The sequence below is a fragment of the Homo sapiens genome, chromosome 12 (assembly GCF_000001405.40).
Source record: "Homo sapiens chromosome 12, GRCh38.p14 Primary Assembly".
Lineage (NCBI taxonomy): Eukaryota > Metazoa > Chordata > Mammalia > Primates > Hominidae > Homo > Homo sapiens.
Genome location: NC_000012.12, coordinates 118,060,441 through 118,078,980, shown reverse-complemented (window position 1 = coordinate 118,078,980; position 18,540 = coordinate 118,060,441). Strand labels below are relative to the sequence as shown.

At 47.6% G+C, this 18,540-nt stretch overlaps 2 protein-coding genes and 1 long non-coding RNA gene across 12 annotated transcripts in view, besides 1 other annotated feature; 2 read left to right on the top strand and 1 right to left on the bottom strand.

Annotated features, from left to right (window-relative positions):
- VSIG10 (V-set and immunoglobulin domain containing 10) overlaps positions 1–15,388 on the top strand; it is a 40,419-nt gene extending 25,031 nt beyond the window's left edge. For 4 of the 8 annotated variants that reach the window (XM_006719467.3, NM_019086.6, XM_005253908.5 and 1 more), the window contains 5 exons: positions 4,989–5,282; positions 7,512–7,622; positions 7,914–7,929; positions 10,384–10,604; positions 12,287–15,388. In XM_006719467.3, the coding sequence (XP_006719530.1) occupies positions 4,989–5,282; positions 7,512–7,622; positions 7,914–7,929; positions 10,384–10,604; positions 12,287–12,342 (698 nt within the window). In that variant the 3' untranslated portion in view covers positions 12,343–15,388. Of the gene's footprint in view, positions 1–4,988; positions 5,283–7,511; positions 7,623–7,913; positions 8,076–10,383; positions 10,605–12,286 lie in introns of those variants that run through there. The other 4 variants (XM_011538502.2, XR_002957343.2, XR_002957342.2 and 1 more) reach the window with 4 other exon arrangements.
- Positions 1,001–17,521, bottom strand: LOC124903030 (uncharacterized). Its single transcript, XR_007063479.1, has 2 exons — positions 17,301–17,521; positions 1,001–2,807 (listed from the first exon to the last, which is right to left on the bottom strand). It is a non-coding gene; the product is annotated as an uncharacterized LOC124903030 (long non-coding RNA).
- Positions 16,807–18,540, top strand: part of WSB2 (WD repeat and SOCS box containing 2) — a 29,488-nt gene continuing 27,754 nt past the window's right edge. For 2 of the 3 annotated variants that reach the window (NM_001278558.2, NM_018639.5), the window contains exon 1: positions 17,802–17,945. Coding sequence is in view for 2 of the 3 variants with exons in the window: in NM_018639.5 (NP_061109.1) it covers positions 17,933–17,945 (13 nt within the window). In the remaining variant the exon portion in view is untranslated. Of the gene's footprint in view, positions 16,883–17,801; positions 17,946–18,540 lie in introns of those variants that run through there. The other variant, NM_001278557.1, reaches the window with a different exon arrangement.
- Positions 18,343–18,392: a silencer, noted in NCBI's record as "silent region_4921". NCBI's record gives its function as "represses an Ori minimal core promoter by ATAC-STARR-seq in GM12878 lymphoblastoid cells {active_cell/tissue: GM12878}" and the evidence as "EXISTENCE:reporter gene assay evidence [ECO:0000049][PMID:35858748]".

The window sequence follows — 18,540 nt, the reverse complement described above, 5'->3', positions numbered from 1 at the left end:
TTATAAAGAAAATTTTTTTTTTTTTTTTTTTTTTTTTTTTTTTAGGCAGAGTCTTGCTCTGTTGCCCAGACTGGAGTGCAGTGGCATGATCTTGGCTCACTACAGCCTCTGCCTCCCAGGTTCAAGCAATTCTCCTGCCTTAGCCTCTTGAGTAGCTGGGACTACAGGCGTGCACCATCATGCCCAGCTAATTTTTGTATTTTTAGTAGAAATGGGGTTTCACCATGTTGGCCAGGCTGGTCTCGAACTGACCCCAAGTGATCTACCTGCCTCGGCCTCCTAAAGTGCTGGGATTATAGGTGTGAGCCACCGCACCTAGCTGAAAATTACTTTATTTGCTCATAGTTCCGTAGGCTGTGCAAGAAACATGGCACCAGCATCTGCTTGGCTTCTGGTGAGAGCGTCAGGCTGCTTCTGCTCATGACAGAAGGTAAAGGGGAGCCAGCTTATGCAGAGTTCCATAGTGAGAGAGGAAGCAAGAGAGAGAAGGGAGGTGCCAAACTCTTTTTAACAACCAGCAGTGGCTGGGCGTGGTAGCTCACACCTGTAATCTCAGCACTTTGGGAGGCTGAGGCAGGTGGATCACTTGAGGTCAGGAGTCTGAGACCAGCCTGGCCAACATGATGAAACCCCATCTCTACTAAAAATACAAAAATTAGTTGGGCGTGGTGGCGCATGCCTGTAGTCCCAGCTACTCGGGAGGCTGAGGCAGGAGAACTGCGTGAACCCAGGAGGCGGAGCTTCCAGTGAGCCGAGATCGCACCACTGCACTCCAGCCTGGGCGATGGAGTGAGACTCCATCTCAAAAAAAGAAAATAGTGACAAAAATTGTAATTACTTTTGCAGTAAGCTAATAGAATGAGAATTCACTTACCCAAACACCTTCCATTAGGCCTTACCTCCAACACTGAGGATCAAATTTAAACATGAGATTTGGAGGGGACAAACATTCAAACTATAGCTTCTAGTTATGTAACAAATTACTCTCAAACATAGTGGCTTAAAACAAGAATAACCATTTATTATCTGATGATTTCTGTGGGTCAGGAATTCAGAGAGGGCACAGTGGGCATTGGGGATGGTTTGTCTTGGCTCTGTATGTCTGGGGTGTCAGCCGGAAGAATTGAAGGTTGCGGGGCTGAAATCATCTGAAAGATCTACTTTTGAAGTCCTCACTCCCATGCCTGGCAACTATTTCTTCTCCATGTGGGATTCTCCATAAGGCTGCTTGAGTGTCCTTCCAACATGGCAGATGGCTTCCCTCAGAGCAAATGATCCAAAATGGAGTGAGTCAAGCTGATGCTATCCTTTCTATGACCTAGCCTCAGGAGTTACATGGGATCCCTTCTGCCACACTCTGTGTCTTAGAAATAAGTCCAGCCCACATTGAAGAGGGCTGGGAAGAATTAGGCACCACTTTTTGAAGGGAGGAGTGTCAGAGAATGTCTGTACATATTAAAACCACAAACATTCCTCTTTCACAGAGCTTATATTCTGGGTGGCATGGGGGTAGAAGGAAGACAGAAAGTACAAAAACAAGTAAGATAGGTCCAGATATGATGATAATATGAGGATAATAAAATGGTATATATAAAAGGGAGGCCTTTATAAGAAGAGGGGCACTTTTCCTAGGGTGGCAGGGAGGTCTCCGTGAGATGGTAATAATCTATCCTTAGAATGAGAAGGAGCTGGCTAGGTGAAGATCCGTGGGCTGAGTGTTCCTGGCAGAGGCAACAGCAAACGCAGAGGCCCTGAGGTGGAAACAAACTTGGCATTTGAGGACCCGAGAGAAGACCAGTGTGGCCGGGGCATCGTGTGTAAAGTACTGATAAAGCTGGGTGGAGGTTGGGGGTTCAGTTGTGTCCCCCCAGTAGATATGTTCAAGTCCAAACCCTAATACCTGTGGATATGACTTTATTCAGAAAGAGTCTTTGCAGATGGAATCAAGTTAAGATAAGGTCATAGTGGATTAGAGTAGGCTGTAATCCAATGACTGATGTCTTTCTTTGTAAGAAGGGAGAAGGCCGGGCGTGGTGGCTCACGCCTGTAATCCCAGCACTTTGGGAGTCAGAGGCAGGAGGATAGCTTACGGCTAGGAATTCGAGACCAGCCTGGGCAACACAGACCTTGTTTCTACAAACAATAAAAAATAAATAAAGTAGCTGGGCATGGTGGTATGCACCTATAATCCCAGCTACTGGGGAGGCTGATGTGAGAGTATTGCTTGTACCTAGGAGGTTGAGGCTGCAGTGAGCGGTCACTCCAGGCCTGGGTGTCAGAGTGAAACTCTGTCTCAAAACAAAAAAAAGGGAAAGGTAAGAGAGATCAGAAGCGCCAGGATCAGTCAGATGTGGTAGCTCATGACTGTAATCCCAGCACTTTGGGAGGCCAAGGACGGGCATATTGCTTGGGCCCAGGAGTTTGAGACCAGCCTGGGCAACACAGCGAAACACCATGATATGGTTTGGCTCTGTGTCCCCACCCAAATCTCATGTTGAATTGTAACTCCAAATATTGGCAGAGGGACCTGGTGGGAGGTAATTTGATCATGGGAATGTATTTCACACAAACACTAACACTAACGATAGGTGATGAGCCAAAAAAAAAAAAAAGGGACCGTGCATAATTTTCATGATATCCATCACACAGATAAACAAAAATGTCCTCACATTCAAAGCCATCCTGGGCCGAATTTAGCCCGCAGCTGCAGGTTGGAAAAGCTTGCTCTAGAGCGTCCAAAAGGAACCAGCTCTGCCAACATCTTGATGTTAACCTTGTAAGACGTTCTAGACTCCTGGCCTCCACAACTGTTAAGAGAATAAATGTGCTTTAAGCCACTAAGTTTGTCACAATCTATTACATCAGCAATTGGAAACAAATACAGCTGCCCTCTTGTCCCCTTGAAATCCTTGTCAGATATGTGTCCATTTTTATACGATCAGTACAGTTTTTATGTGTAAAAGTGTATAGCATAGAAGGAAGGCTTATGGATACAGTAGCCAGTTTATCCTGGTTTGCACAGAACTCTCCTGGTTTTAGGACTGAAAACTCCTCATTCTGGGAATACTCCACGTCCTGGGCAGACTGGGGCAGTTGATCACTCTGAATCCTAGCTGCATTGCCTATTTAGTTCTGTAGCATTCAGCAAATTACTTAACTTTCTCTGTGCCTCAGTTTCCTTATCTGCAAAATGGGCATAATAACAGGGTTGCTGTGAGAGTGAATTGGGTTAATACATGTAACAGTGCCTTGCCCACAGTAAATGCCTAGTAATCTTAGGCTTATTATGATGTAAGACGAGGTGTGGTGGAGAAATTTCTGGAGTTGGCCAGGCACGGTGGCTCATGCCTGTAATCCCAGCACTTTGGGAGGCCAAGGTGGAGGATCATTTGAGGTCAGGAGTTCAAGACCAGCCTGACCAACATGGTGAAACCCTGTTTCTACTAAAAGTACAAAAATTAGCCAGGCATGGTGGCAGGCACCTGTAATCCCAGCTACTTGGGAGGCTGAAGCATGAGAATCACTTGAACCTGGGAGGCAGAGGTTGCAGTGAGCCAAGATCACAGCACTGCACTCCAGCCTGGGTGACAGAGCGAGACCTTGTCTCAAAAACAAAAAAAGAAAAAAAGAAATTTCTGGAGTTGCTTCATTAGGAAGGAAATGTAGTGTTCCTGCCTTACCCATGAGGGATATGTTCCTAGATCCCCAGTGGATGCCTGAAGCCATGGGTAGCACTGAACCCTATATATATATATACACACACACACATATATACACACACACACATATATATATACACACATATATACATATATATACATATATATACATATACACATATATACATATATACACATATATATACATATACACATATATACATATATACATATATATACTATGCTTTTTCTTATACATAAATACTTATGATAAGGTTAATTTATACATTAGGCACAATAAGAGATTAACAATAGTAACTAATAAAAAATAGACAAGTATAACAATATACTGTCATAAAAGGTATGCGAATGTGATCTTTCTCTCAAAATATCTACTCAGCCTTCTTGTGATGAAGAAAGGCTCATGCAGATGGTGTGAGATTTCGTCACACGACTCAGAACAATGTGCAGTTTAAAACTTAGGAAATTGTGAATATACTTAAAAGTACTGCAAGAAATGAAAAAATAAAAAATTTATGAATTGGCCCGGCACGGTGGCTCACGCCTGTAATCCTAGCACTTTGGGAGGCTAAGGCAAGTGGATCACCTGAGGTCAGGAGTTTGAGACTAGCCTGGCCAATATGGTGAAACCCCGTCTCTACTAAAAATACAAAAATTAGGTGGGCGTGGTGGCTCATGCCTGTAATCCCAGCCACTTGGGAGGCTGAGGCAGGAAAATCTCTTGAATTCAGGAGGTGGAGATTGCAGTGAGCTGAGATTGCATCACTGCACTCCAGCCTGGGCGACAAAGTGAGACTCCATCTCAAAAAAAAAAAAAAATTGTTCATTTCTGAAATTTTCCATTTAGTATTTTTGGACTGTAGTCAACCATGGTAACTGAAACCTCAGAAAGTGAAATCACAGATAAAGGGGACTGGGGCCGGATGCGGTGGCTCACGCCTGTAATCCCAGCACTTTGGGAGACTGAGATGGGCAAATCACCTGAGGTTGGGAGTTTGAGACCAGCCTGGGCAACATGGTGAAACCCTGTCTCTACTAAAAATACAAAAATTAGCCAGGTGTGGTGGCGCATGCCTGTAATCCCAGCTCGGGAGGCTGAGGCAGGAGAATTGCTTGAACCCGGGAGGGAGGCAGAGGTTGCAGTGAGCTGAGATCGCACCACTGCACTCCAGCCTGGGCAACAGAGCAAAACCTCCATCTCAAAACAAAACAAAACAAAACAAAAAACTACTGCAGTTTTCCTGCAGATCTCAGGCCATGACTTGAATCTCTTTAAACATTTGTCTTTGTTTACCTTCTGATCACCAGGGGGTCCCTCCCTTCTCTCTGAGCCCATGAAGACTTGCTTCACTGGGGGCAATGTGACGCTTACATGCCAGGTGTCTGGGGCCTACCCCCCTGCCAAGATCCTGTGGCTGAGGAACCTTACCCAGCCCGAGGTGATCATCCAGCCTAGCAGCCGCCATCTCATTACCCAGGATGGCCAGAACTCCACCCTCACTATCCACAACTGCTCCCAGGACCTGGATGAGGGCTACTACATCTGCCGAGCTGACAGCCCTGTAGGGGTGAGGGAGATGGAAATCTGGCTGAGTGTGAAAGGTGAGTGGTGGAACTGGGCCTGAAGGAGGGAGGGTTCAGAGCTTCAGAGCACCCAGCATCAGCATGAGGACAGCCTGGTGCCTCCCTACACATGGGTCACTGCCAACTGGGAGAAGGCATATCTGCTTGCTTATGACTTGACAAGGTGGCTGGAAGAAATTATCCAACCCTAAACTCACTAATATTTCCATAGGTAGCAAAAATTACATAATATCTATACACACCAACGAATAGATATCTAGTGTATGTCAGTTGTAAAGCATAACAGCAAAATGAACACCTAAGAAACTATCATCCCACTGAGGATACAGAATAGTACCAACATGCATTAGGTTACTTGTATGTCTCAGGGCCAGATTTGGAAACAACGATAGGGCTGGGCACAGTGGCTCACGCCTGTAATCCCAGCACTTTGGGAGGCCGAGGCGGGTGGATCACTTGAGGCCAGGAGTTTGAGACCAGCCTGGCTAGTATGGTGAAACCTCGTCTTTACTAAAAATACAAAATTACTTGGGAGGCTGAGATGGGCAGATCACCTGAGGTTGGGAGTTCGAGACCATTAGCTGAGCATGGTGGCAGGTGCCTGTAATCCCAGCTACTCGGAAGTCTGAGGCAGAATTGCTTGAATCTGGGAGGCGAAGGTTGCAGTGAGCCGAGATCACACCACTGCACTTCAGCTTGGGTGACAGAGCGAGAATCCACTTCAAAAAGAAGAAAATAGCAATAGAACTTTAAAAACAGGATGCCTGCTTAAATTTGAGTTTAGAAAAATAAATACTTTTAAGTATAAGTGTGTCCCAAATATTTCATGAGACATACTTACACTAAAAAAACTATTCATTGTTTATCTGAAATCCAAATTTCACTGGGCATACTGAATTTTACCTGGGAACCCTCCCTGTAGGCCTAGTCTCATCTTGGGCCTCTCTCGAAAGGTAACCATGGTCCTGAATTTTAAGTTTTACTATATATGTCTCTACTTATTTCTTTTTATTTTATTTTTTATACAGATGAGGTCGCACTGTGTTGACCAGGTTGGTCTTGAACTCCTGGCCTGAAGTGAGCCTCCCATCTCAGCCTCCCAAAGTGTTGAGATTGCAAGCATGAGCCACCACACCTGGCCTCTTTCTTCCCTTCCCTTCTCCCTTTTCCTTTCTCTTCTCCCTTTTCCCTTTCCTACCTTCCTTCTTTTCTTTCCCTCCCCTCCCCTCCTCTTTCTTTCTTTTTTTTTTTTGAGACGGAGTCTTGCTCTGTCACCCAGGCTGGAGTGCAGTGGTGCGATCTCGGCTCACTGCAAGCTCCACCTCCTGGGTTCATGCCATTCTCCTGCCTCAGCCTCCCAAGTAGCTGGGACTGCAGGCGCCCGCCGCTGTGCCCGGCTAATTTTTTGTATTTTTAGTAGAGATGGGGTTTCACTGTGTTAGCCAGGATGGTCTCGACCTCCTGACCTCGTGATCCGCCTGCCTCGGCCTCCCAAAGTGCTGGGATTACAGGCGTGAGCCACCGCGCCCGGCCCTCTTTCTTTCTTTGAGATGGAATTTCGCTCTTGTTGCCCAGGCTGGAGTGCAATGGCGCGATCTTGGCTCACCGCAACCCCCGCCTCCCGGGTTCAAGTGATTCTCCTGCCTCAGCCTCCCAAGTAGCTGGGATTACAGACATGCACCACCACACCTGGCTAATTTTGTATTTTTAGTAGAGACGGGGTTTTAACATGTTGGTCAGGCTGGTCTCGATCTCCCGACTTCAGGTGATCCGCCCTCCTCAGCCTCCCAAAGTGCTGGGATTACAGGCATGCGCCACTGCGCCCGGGCTCTAGTACCAATTCTTAAATAGTGCTTCCTTTGCTCAAGACCCTGTCATATATCAATTATACTTACGTGTGGACCCGTTCCTGGACTCTCTGTTCTGTTCCGTTGATCACTCTGTTTATCATGGCATTGATAACTCTCAACACTCTTACTTACCATGGCCTTAGAAATAGTCTCAGTGTTTGGTAGACAGAGAGATTTTAACTTTCCATTGTTTGTTCACATTCCCTGCTCCATCTGATCCCCACAAACTCTCTGAGGTTGGGTGATAAAATATTTATCTGGCATTACAGACAGGTCATAAGCCTTACCCAAGGTCAGGAATCAAGACAAGAACTGGATCCACGCAGAGAAAGGGAGGTGTTGTTCTAATTGCACACATATCTGATGGAAGAATCAATGGTGTGATTTGTCTTTACAGAACCTTTAAATATCGGGGGGATTGTGGGAACCATTGTGAGCCTCCTTCTGCTGGGACTGGCCATTATCTCAGGGCTTCTGTTGCATTATAGCCCTGTGTTCTGCTGGAAAGGTAAGGACTCCCTGGGTCCTTTAGCTTCTCTTCCAGACTTTTGAAAAGGTGCGGGATGGGGAAGGATGGCCCCTGCCTTGCTCCCACCTGAAGTTCTGTTCTCTGGGCTTCTTTGCTGGGTCAAGATACACAGTAATAAGTCACCTAAGTACCATCCCGGGACACCCTATCACCTGTCATATTGAGTCAGTTTTCTTATTTGTTCCTCTAGTAAATGTTTGCCTGATTAAGAACCTGTCAGGTTGAAGTGGATGTTACTGGATATTAATGGTTTTTCCTTTCTCTCTTCAGTAGGAAACACTTCCAGGTGAGTGTTCCCTAGAATCAAACCAAACACCCATTCCCGCATCTGTCTTCACTTCTGTTTTGTTCCCTTCCTTTCACAAGAACAATAATAGCAACTACCATTGAGGACCTACGATGTGCTAGACACTGGCCTAGGGATTTCATCAGGTATTCTTATAAACCCTTTCATCATCTCCTCAGGGTGGTGGTGACATCTCCATTTTCCAGATAAGGGGATGGAGGCTCAGTGAAGTAATTTCTGCAAGCTCATTCCAGAAGAAAGCAGCAGTGCCTTCCTTCAGGTCCAGGTCTAATCAATTCCAAAGTCTGTGTTCTTTTACAGCGCCAAACCTCAGGGCTGGACACATTGCAGGTCTGTCATTGAGACAGAAAGACAATGTGTACATTTTGAGCCAGTCATTCATGCATTTGTTTTATTTAATTTTCTAAAAAGAGCTAAAAGAAAGAATCAGTCATAGTCTTAAGTTTTTTTTTCTTTTTCTTTTTTCTTTTTTTTTTTTTTTTTGAGACAGAATCTCTCTCTCTTGCTCAGGCTGGAGTGCAGTGGTGCAGTCTCAGCTCACTGCAATCCCTACCTCCCAGGTTGAGGCCATTCTCCTGCCTCAGCCTTCCGAGTAGTTGGGATTACAGGTGCGCACCATCAAGCCTGGCTAATTTTTGTATTTTTAGTAGAGACAGGGTTTCACCATGTTGCCCAGGCTAGTCTCAAACTCCTGGCCTCAAGTGGTCTGCCCGCCTCGGCCTCCCAAAGTGCCGGGATTACAGGCACGAGCCACTGCACCCAGCCAGTTTTACAGTGTTTTGGAAGACTACTATGAGCATGCCCAGAACCCCCTCCCAAAAGGAAACCCCAGTAGGGGCGAAGGAACCAAACGGAACTTGTGTATTTCATTTCCTAAGGAGATTCTGGGTGGGAGCAGAGTACTCTTCTCTATGATCCTATGGAAAAACAGTTCTTTACCTCTTCAAAATGACAGGATATTATTGACCTGGGACCATCTTTCGTAGCAAAACATTACCTTTACTGCCCTGTATTGGAGGGCCATTCTTAGTAAGTCTGTCATTCCCTGGGCTTATTTCTCACTGGAGGCATCAGTGTGGTGTAGTAGGAAAAGGCACTGAGACCATTGGACCTGGGTTCAAATGACAGCTGTGCCATTCCCAAGCCCTGTACCCATAGAAAATCCCTGACCCTTTCTGAGCCTTAGTCTCCTGATTTGTTTCACCAGGGGGTTTGTGAAGATTAAATGACAATGTAACACAGCTCCTCGGGCAGGTGACTGACCTGTGGCGTTCATTCTTCTTCCTTAAGAAATGCATAGTCCAGGCCGGGTGCAGTGGCTCACGCCTGTAATCCCAGCACTTTGGGAGGCCGAGGCGGGTGGATCACCTGAGGTCGGGAGTTCGAGACCAGCCTGACCAACATGCAGAAACCCCATCTCTACTAAAAATACAAAAAATTAGCCGCATGTAGTGGCGCATGCCTGTAATCCCAGCTGCTTGGGAGGTTGAAGCAGGAGAATTGCTTGAACCTGGGAGGCAGAGGTTGCGGTGAGCCATGATTGTGCCATTGCACTCCAGCCTGGGCAACAAGAATGAAACTCTGTCTCAAAAAAAAAAAAAAAAAGAAGAAGAAGAAGAAGAAGAAATGCACAGTCCAGGCCGGGCACAACAGTGGCTCATGCCTATAATCTCAGCACTCTGGGAGGCCAAGGTGGTTGGATCACTTGAGGCCAGGCATTCGAGACCAGCCTGGCCAACATGTTGAAACCATGTCTCTACTAAAAATACAAAAATTAGCCAGATGTGGTGGCGCATGCCTGTAGTCCCAGCTACTTGGGTGGCTGAGGCAGGAGAATTGCTTGCACCCAGGAGGTGGAGGTTGCAGTGAGCCAAGATTGCGCCACTGCACTCTAGCCTGGGCAACAGCGCAAGACTCTATCCCGAAAAAGAAAAAAAAAAGAAATGTATAGTCTGAAATGCAAAGTCTGGCTGGGTAGGCAAGCTAGTGAGCTGGTGATAAATAAACTATAGCATGGACTCTAAATGCAGTCATTAATTTAGGTCTTTAGCAGGAGGGAGAGGACTTTACCTGGGTCTTCCAAAATGAGGAAGGGGAGAGATTTTGGTAAGTAGAGCAGAATGAGGGCATTTCAGAAAAGGAAAAACATTTGTCTACCTGCTGTAAGGGGACATGAAATGGTAGATGCCTGGGACAATATGGTCACCTGCCCAAGGAGCAGGGGAGTAATAAACCAGCATGAGATACCATCATCTGAAGCAATTTGTGGCAGCATCTCTGCGGTTACCACACCATCACCTCATTACTTCACCAAGCTGTAATTTTCCATATTACTAATGGGGTTGCAAAGAATCTAGTGTTTCCTATTCAGTGAGGGCTGAAGTTGGGAAAAATAAGAAATCTTCTTGATTATTTTTCCCCTTTGGAAATTAGGGGACAAAACATGGATGATGTCATGGTTTTGGTGGATTCAGAAGAGGAAGAGGAGGAGGAGGAGGAGGAGGAGGAAGATGCTGCAGTAGGGGAACAGGAGGGAGCACGTGAGAGAGAGGAGTTGCCAAAAGAAATACCTAAGCAGGACCACATTCACAGAGTGACCGCCTTGGTGAATGGGAACATAGAACAGATGGGAAATGGATTCCAGGATCTTCAAGGTAAGCTCTTTTTCCTTAAACAAACAAACAGAAAACAAACAAAAAAAGGCGCGTTGGCTCACGCCTATAATCCCAGCACTTTGGGAGGCCAAGGTGGGAAGATCACTTAAGCCCAGAAGTTCAAGACTAGCCTGGGCAACATGGTGAGACTCTGTCTCTACGAAAAAAAAAAAAAAAAAAAAGAAAAATTAGCCGGTCATGGTGGTGTGCACCTGTGTTCCCAGCTACTTGGGAGGCTGAGGATCACTTGAGTGTAGGAAGTCCAGGCTGCAGTGAGCTATGATCACACCACTGCACTCCAGTCTGGGCAGCAGTAGGAAACCTGCCTCAGAAAAAAAAAAAAAAAAAAAAAAGCCCACAAACCTCTGAACTGCTGCGGTGAGCTTCCCAGCAGGAAATCTCTAAGGGGTGAGTTTAGTTTTTTTAAAAGGCTGGGGAAGATAGCTAAACTTTAGTCTAGAACCTGAGACTACTATCAACTACCAACATGAAAATCAAATTGACAAACACTTATCAAGGTCCTGGTCTAGGGTAGGCACAATATTGGCATTGTGGGAGAACAGAAAATAGAGACTGGTAGTGTCTGCATGCAGGGAGCTTTACAAGACCAGTTCAGGCCAGGTGCGGTGGCTCACGCCTATAATCCCAGCATTTTGGGAGGCTGAGGCAGGTGGATCATTTGAGGTCAGGAGTTTGAGACCAGCCTGGCCAACATGGTGAGACCCCCATCTCTACTAAAAATACAAAAATCAGCTGGGTGTGGTAGGTGCCTGTAATCCCAGCTACTTGGGAGACCAAGGCAGGAGAATCACTTGAACCCGGGAGACGGAGGCTGCAGTGAGCCGAGATCGTGCCACTGCACTTCAGCCTGGGTGACAGAGTGAGACTCTGTCTCAAAAAAAAAAAAAAAAAGGCCAGTTTAGGGGAACAAACTAAAACCTGCAGGGGAAATGGAAACAGGAGCAAGATTGAACCAACACACTGAGAGAGCAGTAGAGGAGCTGTTGCAGGAAGATATTTGATTAATTGCCTGATGGACAACACATTTAAAAATTATAGGCACGGTTGCTCATGCCTGTAATCCCAGCACTTTGGGAGGCCAAAGTGGGTGGATCGCTGGAGCTCAGGAGTTCGAGACTAGCCTTGGGAACATGGCAAAACGTGTCTCTACTAAGAATACAAAAAATTAGCTGGGTGTGTGGCATGTACCTGTAGCCCCAGCTACTTGGGAGGCTGAGGTGGGAGAATCACCTGAGCCTGGGAAGTTGAGGCTGCAGTGAGATGAGATCGTGCCACTGCACCAAAATTTATAGGACCTCAGAGAAAGATAAGAGCCCGGAGAGGTGTGCTGGTCAGGGGAAGCTTTATGGAAGAGGTAGACATGAAGCAAGGCGTTAAGACGGCTGAGTTGGAATAAGCAGAAAGGAGAGAGGGCGTTTCAGGTGAGGGGAGGGGCGTGAGCTGAGGACATGAAGGGTGACTGGTATCAAGCATGCCTAGAGGTTCTGAATGTAGAAAACAGGTGAAAAGGGGAAAACACACGCTGCCCTACCTTCTCCATGAGATCCCATTCTGTGGCTCACCAGGAAAGGACTAGAAATCACTGAGATGATTGATGACTGACGGTGGAAATAGAATCACACTCTGATTACAAAGCATTGGGTTTATTTCCCCCCATACAGATGACAGCAGTGAGGAGCAAAGTGACATTGTTCAAGAAGAAGACAGGCCAGTCTGAAGAAGAGGATGGTCCATGGTTGTCTTGCTCTGAAAGCTTGGAGAGCTACATTGAAGACGAGCTCTTCATTCAGCTTTGACTCCACCTGCACCCCTGGCGGGGGCTTGCACTAACAATGTTTGGGTCTCAGCAAAAAACAAAACCAAGCACACACATCTTTCCTTCCATGTATTGAAAAACATTGGTTTGATTTGCTCTAAGTTTTCCCAATGATGTTTAAAAGCTTTGAGAAGGAAAGCTGCTTTGGTGTCTGAGGTGCCACTTCTGCTGTGAATCCTGGCTTTATCCAGGTTGATCTACTGTGATAGATGCTGATTTAGAGGGAACAGAGGTCAGGGAAGCACTGGGTCTTGGTGCCTTTTGCCGCTTTTTTTTTTTTTTTTTTTTTTTTTTGAGACGGAGTCTCCCTCTATTGCCCAGGCTGGAGTGCAATGGCACGATCTTGGCTCACCACAACTTCTGCCTCCCAGGTTCAAGCGATTCTCCTGCCTCAGCCACGGCACCTTGCAAATATCAGCTCCTTGGAACAGGTGAAGTTCCAGGTACCAATGCCAATCAGAGGAAGGCAGTTTGGTTCAGGCTTTGGAGTTAGAAACACCTGAAGTTGAATCTGGGCTCTGTTGCTTCCTTCTTTCATGGGCTAGAGCACGACTCTTTACCTCTCTCTTGGCCTCAATTTCCTCACCTGTAAAATAGATGAGGAAGCTGCTCACTTATTATTGTCTCGTTCTGAAAGCTTGGAAAGCTACATCGAAGATGAGCTCTTCATTCAGCTTTGATTTGACCTGTACCCCTGGTGGGGGATTGCACTGGCAACATTTGGGTCTCAGCAAAAAAACCAAGCACACACATCTTTCCTTCCATTTATTGAAAAACATCTTTGTAAGATCCATTCATTGAAAAACATAATCCATTTATTGAAAAATATCTTTGTAAGATCACCTGCTAAATATGAAAATCTGACTTGAATTTGTACTCTTTAAAGTTGCGTATCTGCTCTAGTGGGCAGGACCTAGGGCTTAAAGGGGAACTTCCTTTCTCCATTTCTAAGAACTGGGACTCTAAAATGAGAAGCTGGTTGTCTGAAGTAACCCTGCAGGTGTGGTTGGGGAAGGTCTGTTTTCTTGGATGAAGGAACTAAACTAAGCATATCAGAGCACTGTCTTAACCAGTTTTATTTCCCTGGAGATAGAATTCTTTTAAAAAGAGTTAGGGAGCTGGTAATAGGAAGTGCCTTTCATTATAACTACATTTTGCAGAGCTTCATATTTATATACAAGCCTCCTAGGTGATACACTGTTAGCTTGCAGACTTTCCTATGCTTCATTTCTCCTGTTGCTTTCAAAGAAGGCAGGAGACACGTTTAATAACGGAGTATCTGGTGATAAGAATTGCTTGGGCAAACCAGCTCATCTGGACTCTTTCTCAGTCTTGGAAGTGGGAAGAGGAAAACTTGTTTCCTTCCTGCTTCTTAAGGATATTCTGAGGGTACACTGATCAATAACACTAAATTTGGAATGAAAATACCATGTGATGAGTTTAGCCTGCTGATGCTTCCAGTAGATCCTTGTATAGTTTCAAGATTTAAGTTTTCCGATTTCATATAAATTTCTTAAAGTCGAGGACCTTATAAGGGTGCAATGGATGTTTGCTAAATATGAAAAACTGACTTGAATTTGCACTCTTTAATGTTGCGTATCTGCTCTAGTGGGCAGGACCTAGGGCTTAAAGGGGAACTTCCTTTCTCCAATTCTAGGAACTGGGACTCTAAAATGAGAAGCTGGTTGTCTGAAGTAACCCTGCAGGTGTGGTTGGGGAAGGTCTGTTTTCTTGGATGAAGGGATTAAACTGAGCAAATCACTAGAAGTATGCCCTGTCCCCTGCTCAGAACACTGGGGAGCTCAAGAGTGGGCTGCAATGTGCACCCCTCAGGAATAGCTGTGAATTGCAGGTCTACTGGCTTTTTGCTTTTTGTCTTTTGCTGCAAGGTACCCCACGTACTTAACCATTCTCAACAGTGTAAATCAGTGTCATTTTAGAATGAGATACTCAGCTTGCTTCTAAAGTCACTGAATTACTGAGTGAGTCTCTCCTTTAGAGTCTTCGGCAACCAAATTCCAGAATTGAAGAGTCTACTACTCAGAGGCAACAAGATTAAAAAAAGAAAACACAAAAACTGTTGAGGTGAAAAAAAAAAAAAACCCTAGCTAGGAACACAGAGAATGTTTTGTAGGATCACTGGGATATTTTCCACAACTTCCTCTTCTCTAGCACACACATCTGTTGATAGGAAATATTTGAGGGTTTTTCCACTACCAAATGGGAGCTTCATGGTCCTGGTGTCAAACACTATAAACCTTTGACCAGCTGAGCTGTGACTGCTGTCACATATCTGAGTCCTGTGTGCACAGTAATATCCTGGGTCAGGTAAAATCCAGGTCTTCAAGTTTTAAGGATTTTTTGAAGAATTCGGGCTTCTTTAAGACGATCCATGCCCAAATCCACAAGCTTGTTGACAGTGGATTACAGTTTGTGTGGCAAAGTCCAAGTTGTTACACTGTGCTTTAAAAAAAATCTTATCTGCATGTATTGTTAACTTAGAGACCATGAGATCTATTTATCAGGACCAGGAAGATACACACTTCAGGTCCATTGCAACTGACTTTTTTCTTGTTTTTCTCAAACCCTGGTGGAGCCTGGGAAGGGGGCCTCCACAATTCTGTGGCTTTGATATTAGCCCCAATTCTCACAAGCACATACAAGCCCCATAATTGCCGCAGGAAAACACAAGATGGAAAATTGCAATAACCCATGCACTGAGACTTAGAAAATCATCCTTACTAGGCAAAATGTATTATGATGCAATAAGTGCCAACTGATATTTCTCACGTTGGGACTGGCCAGGAACTGCTGCAAAGAAAAATAAGCAGCTCCTTCTCCATTATTTACATTTTAAGATGTGGTGGGGGGAGGTTGGGAGAAATTAGTTCTGAGGTTATCATATGCCTTTTTTAAAAGATAATGGAATAAAGCTATTTTTAAGTAAGTGCTTTTGTGATCTTGATTGAGACCTGGTTAGTAAATTGAAAGACTTGGAAAAACGAACTTGCCAAAAAAAATTTTTTTTACTAGCTTTTTAAAAATTGGTAACAATATTCTTCTCACCTCAGCCCCGCCTTTTTTGTTTTTTTTTTTTTTTTTTCCTCCAGACGGAGCCTCCATCACCCAGGCTGGTGTGCAATGGCAAGATCTCAGCTCACTGCAACCTCCACCTCCTGGGTTCAAGTGATTCTCCTGCCTCAGTCTCCCGAGTAGCCGGGTTTACAGGTGCCCGCCACCACACCCAGCTAATTTTTGTATTTTTAGTAGAGATTGGGTTTGGCCATATCGGCCAGGCTGGTCTCGAACTCCTGACCTCAGGTGATCTGCCCGCCTTGGCCTCCCAAAGTGCTGGGATTACAGGCATGAGCCATCGCGCCCCGCGACCTTACCCTTTTATTCTTTTCCATGACGTGTACATAAAAACGAGGCCTGTAAGACTCCAGGAATCGAAGGAATTTGGGAGACAAAAAATGGAGACTCAGAAAATTAGAGAAGAGAAAAATGGGAGGGGGGAGCCTGGACAATAAAACGGGGGTCCTCAGGAGGCAGGAAATTAGCGATTAAATGGGAGCAGAGGTGGAGGAGGCCGACACTGGTGCCAGAGATAAAAGTGGAGTCCCAAAAAAAGGGGTGCGCTGGGCCGTTTTTAAAATTGGGAAACATAAAAAATACCCAGTGGAAAATGAAGAGAGAGAACGGGGCATGCTAAAGTTAACATGGGCGGCGAGAAAGGGACAGGTAGCCAGCGGAAAAGGGGGAGACTGAGAAACCGGCAGGTTCAAAGAAAAGAAAAAAAAAAACCGGCCAAGCGGGGTGAACAGGAGTGTAACCCAGGAGGCCAAACGGGACACAGGAAGGACGTACCCAGGGCTCATAAAACAGGGGCCTGGGTAAAAAAACCCGAAACATTAAAACGGAGAGACCATGGTGAAAAAGAACACGGGAACCTCAGTTACCGTAGAAAACATAGGTTGCGTTAGGAAGCAAAGAAATTTAAAATGGAACCACTGCGATCCGGAGCTCTGGGACCAGTGACCGGCAAATGGAGAGGGCACTTGGAGGGAAGCGAAGAAAGGCGGGGAGAAAGGAATGAGAGGCGGGAGAGTGACTTGAATGAAGCTGACACCAAGAACCGCGGGAAGAGCTTGGGCCCAAAGCAGGAAAGGGAAGCGCTCGAGTTGGGGGTAAGGGGAGGCATTTTGGGGACAATGAGCTGAGCTCAGTAAGAAATCCCCAAGCCACTGATACTACTGGGGACCGGACAACTAAGAAATGGGGTCTTTCAGGCATGAAAAGCCTCCATGATGACTCCTGCCCTGGCCCTGGAATGTTAAAAAGGGGGCGTCTGACCCAAGCGAGCCATTTCTTGAGGCTATGCGGGTAGACAGGGAGAGCAGGTTTCTCAGGGGGACGGGGACAGGCGAGGCTGTCGCCGTAGGTAGGTAAGGGGACAGTCTTCTTCCGAATCGCTCCTGCCCCGTTTTTTATCTCGTTCCCACCCCCACTCCGGTTTTCACCCTGCCCTCCTCTCCCCACCGCCCCGTGTTCTCCTCACTTCCCTCTCCCATTACCGGAGCCATTGAGTAGCCCCCCTTGTTTTACCCTAGCCTTGACCCTCGCCGCACCCCCCAATTCTTACGTCCTCCCCAGCACCCGGTTATTACACCTTCCTTCCACCCCCTCCCCATTTTCCCCTAAGCCCAGCTCTCCCCAGGTTTCTTCTCGGCCAGTATTCCCTCCAACCTATTTCTCCCGCCCCCATTTTTACCCGTTTCCCCCCTCATCGGCCTTCGCATGGCTCCATTTTCACCTGCCCCTCCCCTCGATTTCGCTTCAGCCCCTTTGGTTCCCCTTACCCCCACAGCCCTCGGTCTCCCTCTCTCCGTTCTCCCCGGATCGCCGCTTCCCCTGCTTGGTTTTTCTCTCAGCCCGGCTCTACCACTCTCCAACACCCCCTTTTCCCCTGAGCCCGGCTTCCCCTACTCCGGTTTCTATCGCTCCCCTTTTCCCGGTTTCCCTCAGCTCTGTTCACCTCCCTCCCTTCCCCGTTTTTATCCGGCGCTGGTTCCCCTCAGGACCCCGCACAACCCCTGGGTTTTATCCCGTTCGCGCCCCACCCCGTTTCCGCTCAGCTCCCCCCACCCCTGCCCCATTTTTATCTGGTTCGCGCGTCTTCCCCGCCCCCGTTTCCCCTGAGCAACCCCTCAGCTTTTATCCCGTCAGCGTACCGCCTCCCCGATTTTCCATCTTTTCCCTCAGCTGCCCCCCACCGTTTTTATCCCGTCCGCACCCCCCCTCCGTTTCCCCTGCGCCCCGCCCCCGCGCGTCTCCGCCCGCGCCCACCGCCATGTGACGGGAAGCAGCTGATGGCCTCTCCGGGCGGCGGCGGCGGCCTGGCCGGGGCGGGCGGCGCGGGGGCGGCATGAGGGCCCGCGGCCCGGGGGGCTGAGGCGCCCGCCGCCTGCCGCGGGGGCCGCTCGCGTCCTCCATGGAGGCCGGAGGTGAGTGGGGCCGGGCGCGCCCGTTCCCGCCCGGCGGGGCCCTGGCCCGTTCTCCCCGGGGAGGGGGGAGGCGACCCCGGGGCGGGCTGGGCGGGGTGGGGCGGGGGCTGGACGCGGCGGGGGCGTCCGGCCTGGGAGGTCCGCGCGGGGCCGGCGGGGGTGCGCGCCCGGCGACCAGCTTTGTTTCACTTTCGTTGTCAGTGGCCGCCACCCTGACTCCCGCCGGCGACAGGATCGGGAAGATCGGGCTTCTGCGGGAGGAGATCCCCCGACCGGGACAGAGGGGGCTCCCGGGTGGGACTCGGGGCGGGGGGCACCAAGCCCTAAAACGGAGATCCCCAAGGGGGTGGGTGCCCCTGGGTACCCAGGTGCCAGGGGACGCACTTGCATGTCTGGATGGGAGTCACCTCTGTCCCTCACAAGCTGTGTGATCGTGACAGTGGACAAGCCACTGAACCACCGCCACCCACGTCTCAGTTTTGATCTGCAAAATGGGATAATCCTAGTACCTTCCTCGGAGGGTGGCTGGGACCCGGTAAAAATGGGGTCTGGGGTCTGGGTTCCCTATTGAAACAATCTATTCCCAGCCTCTCCC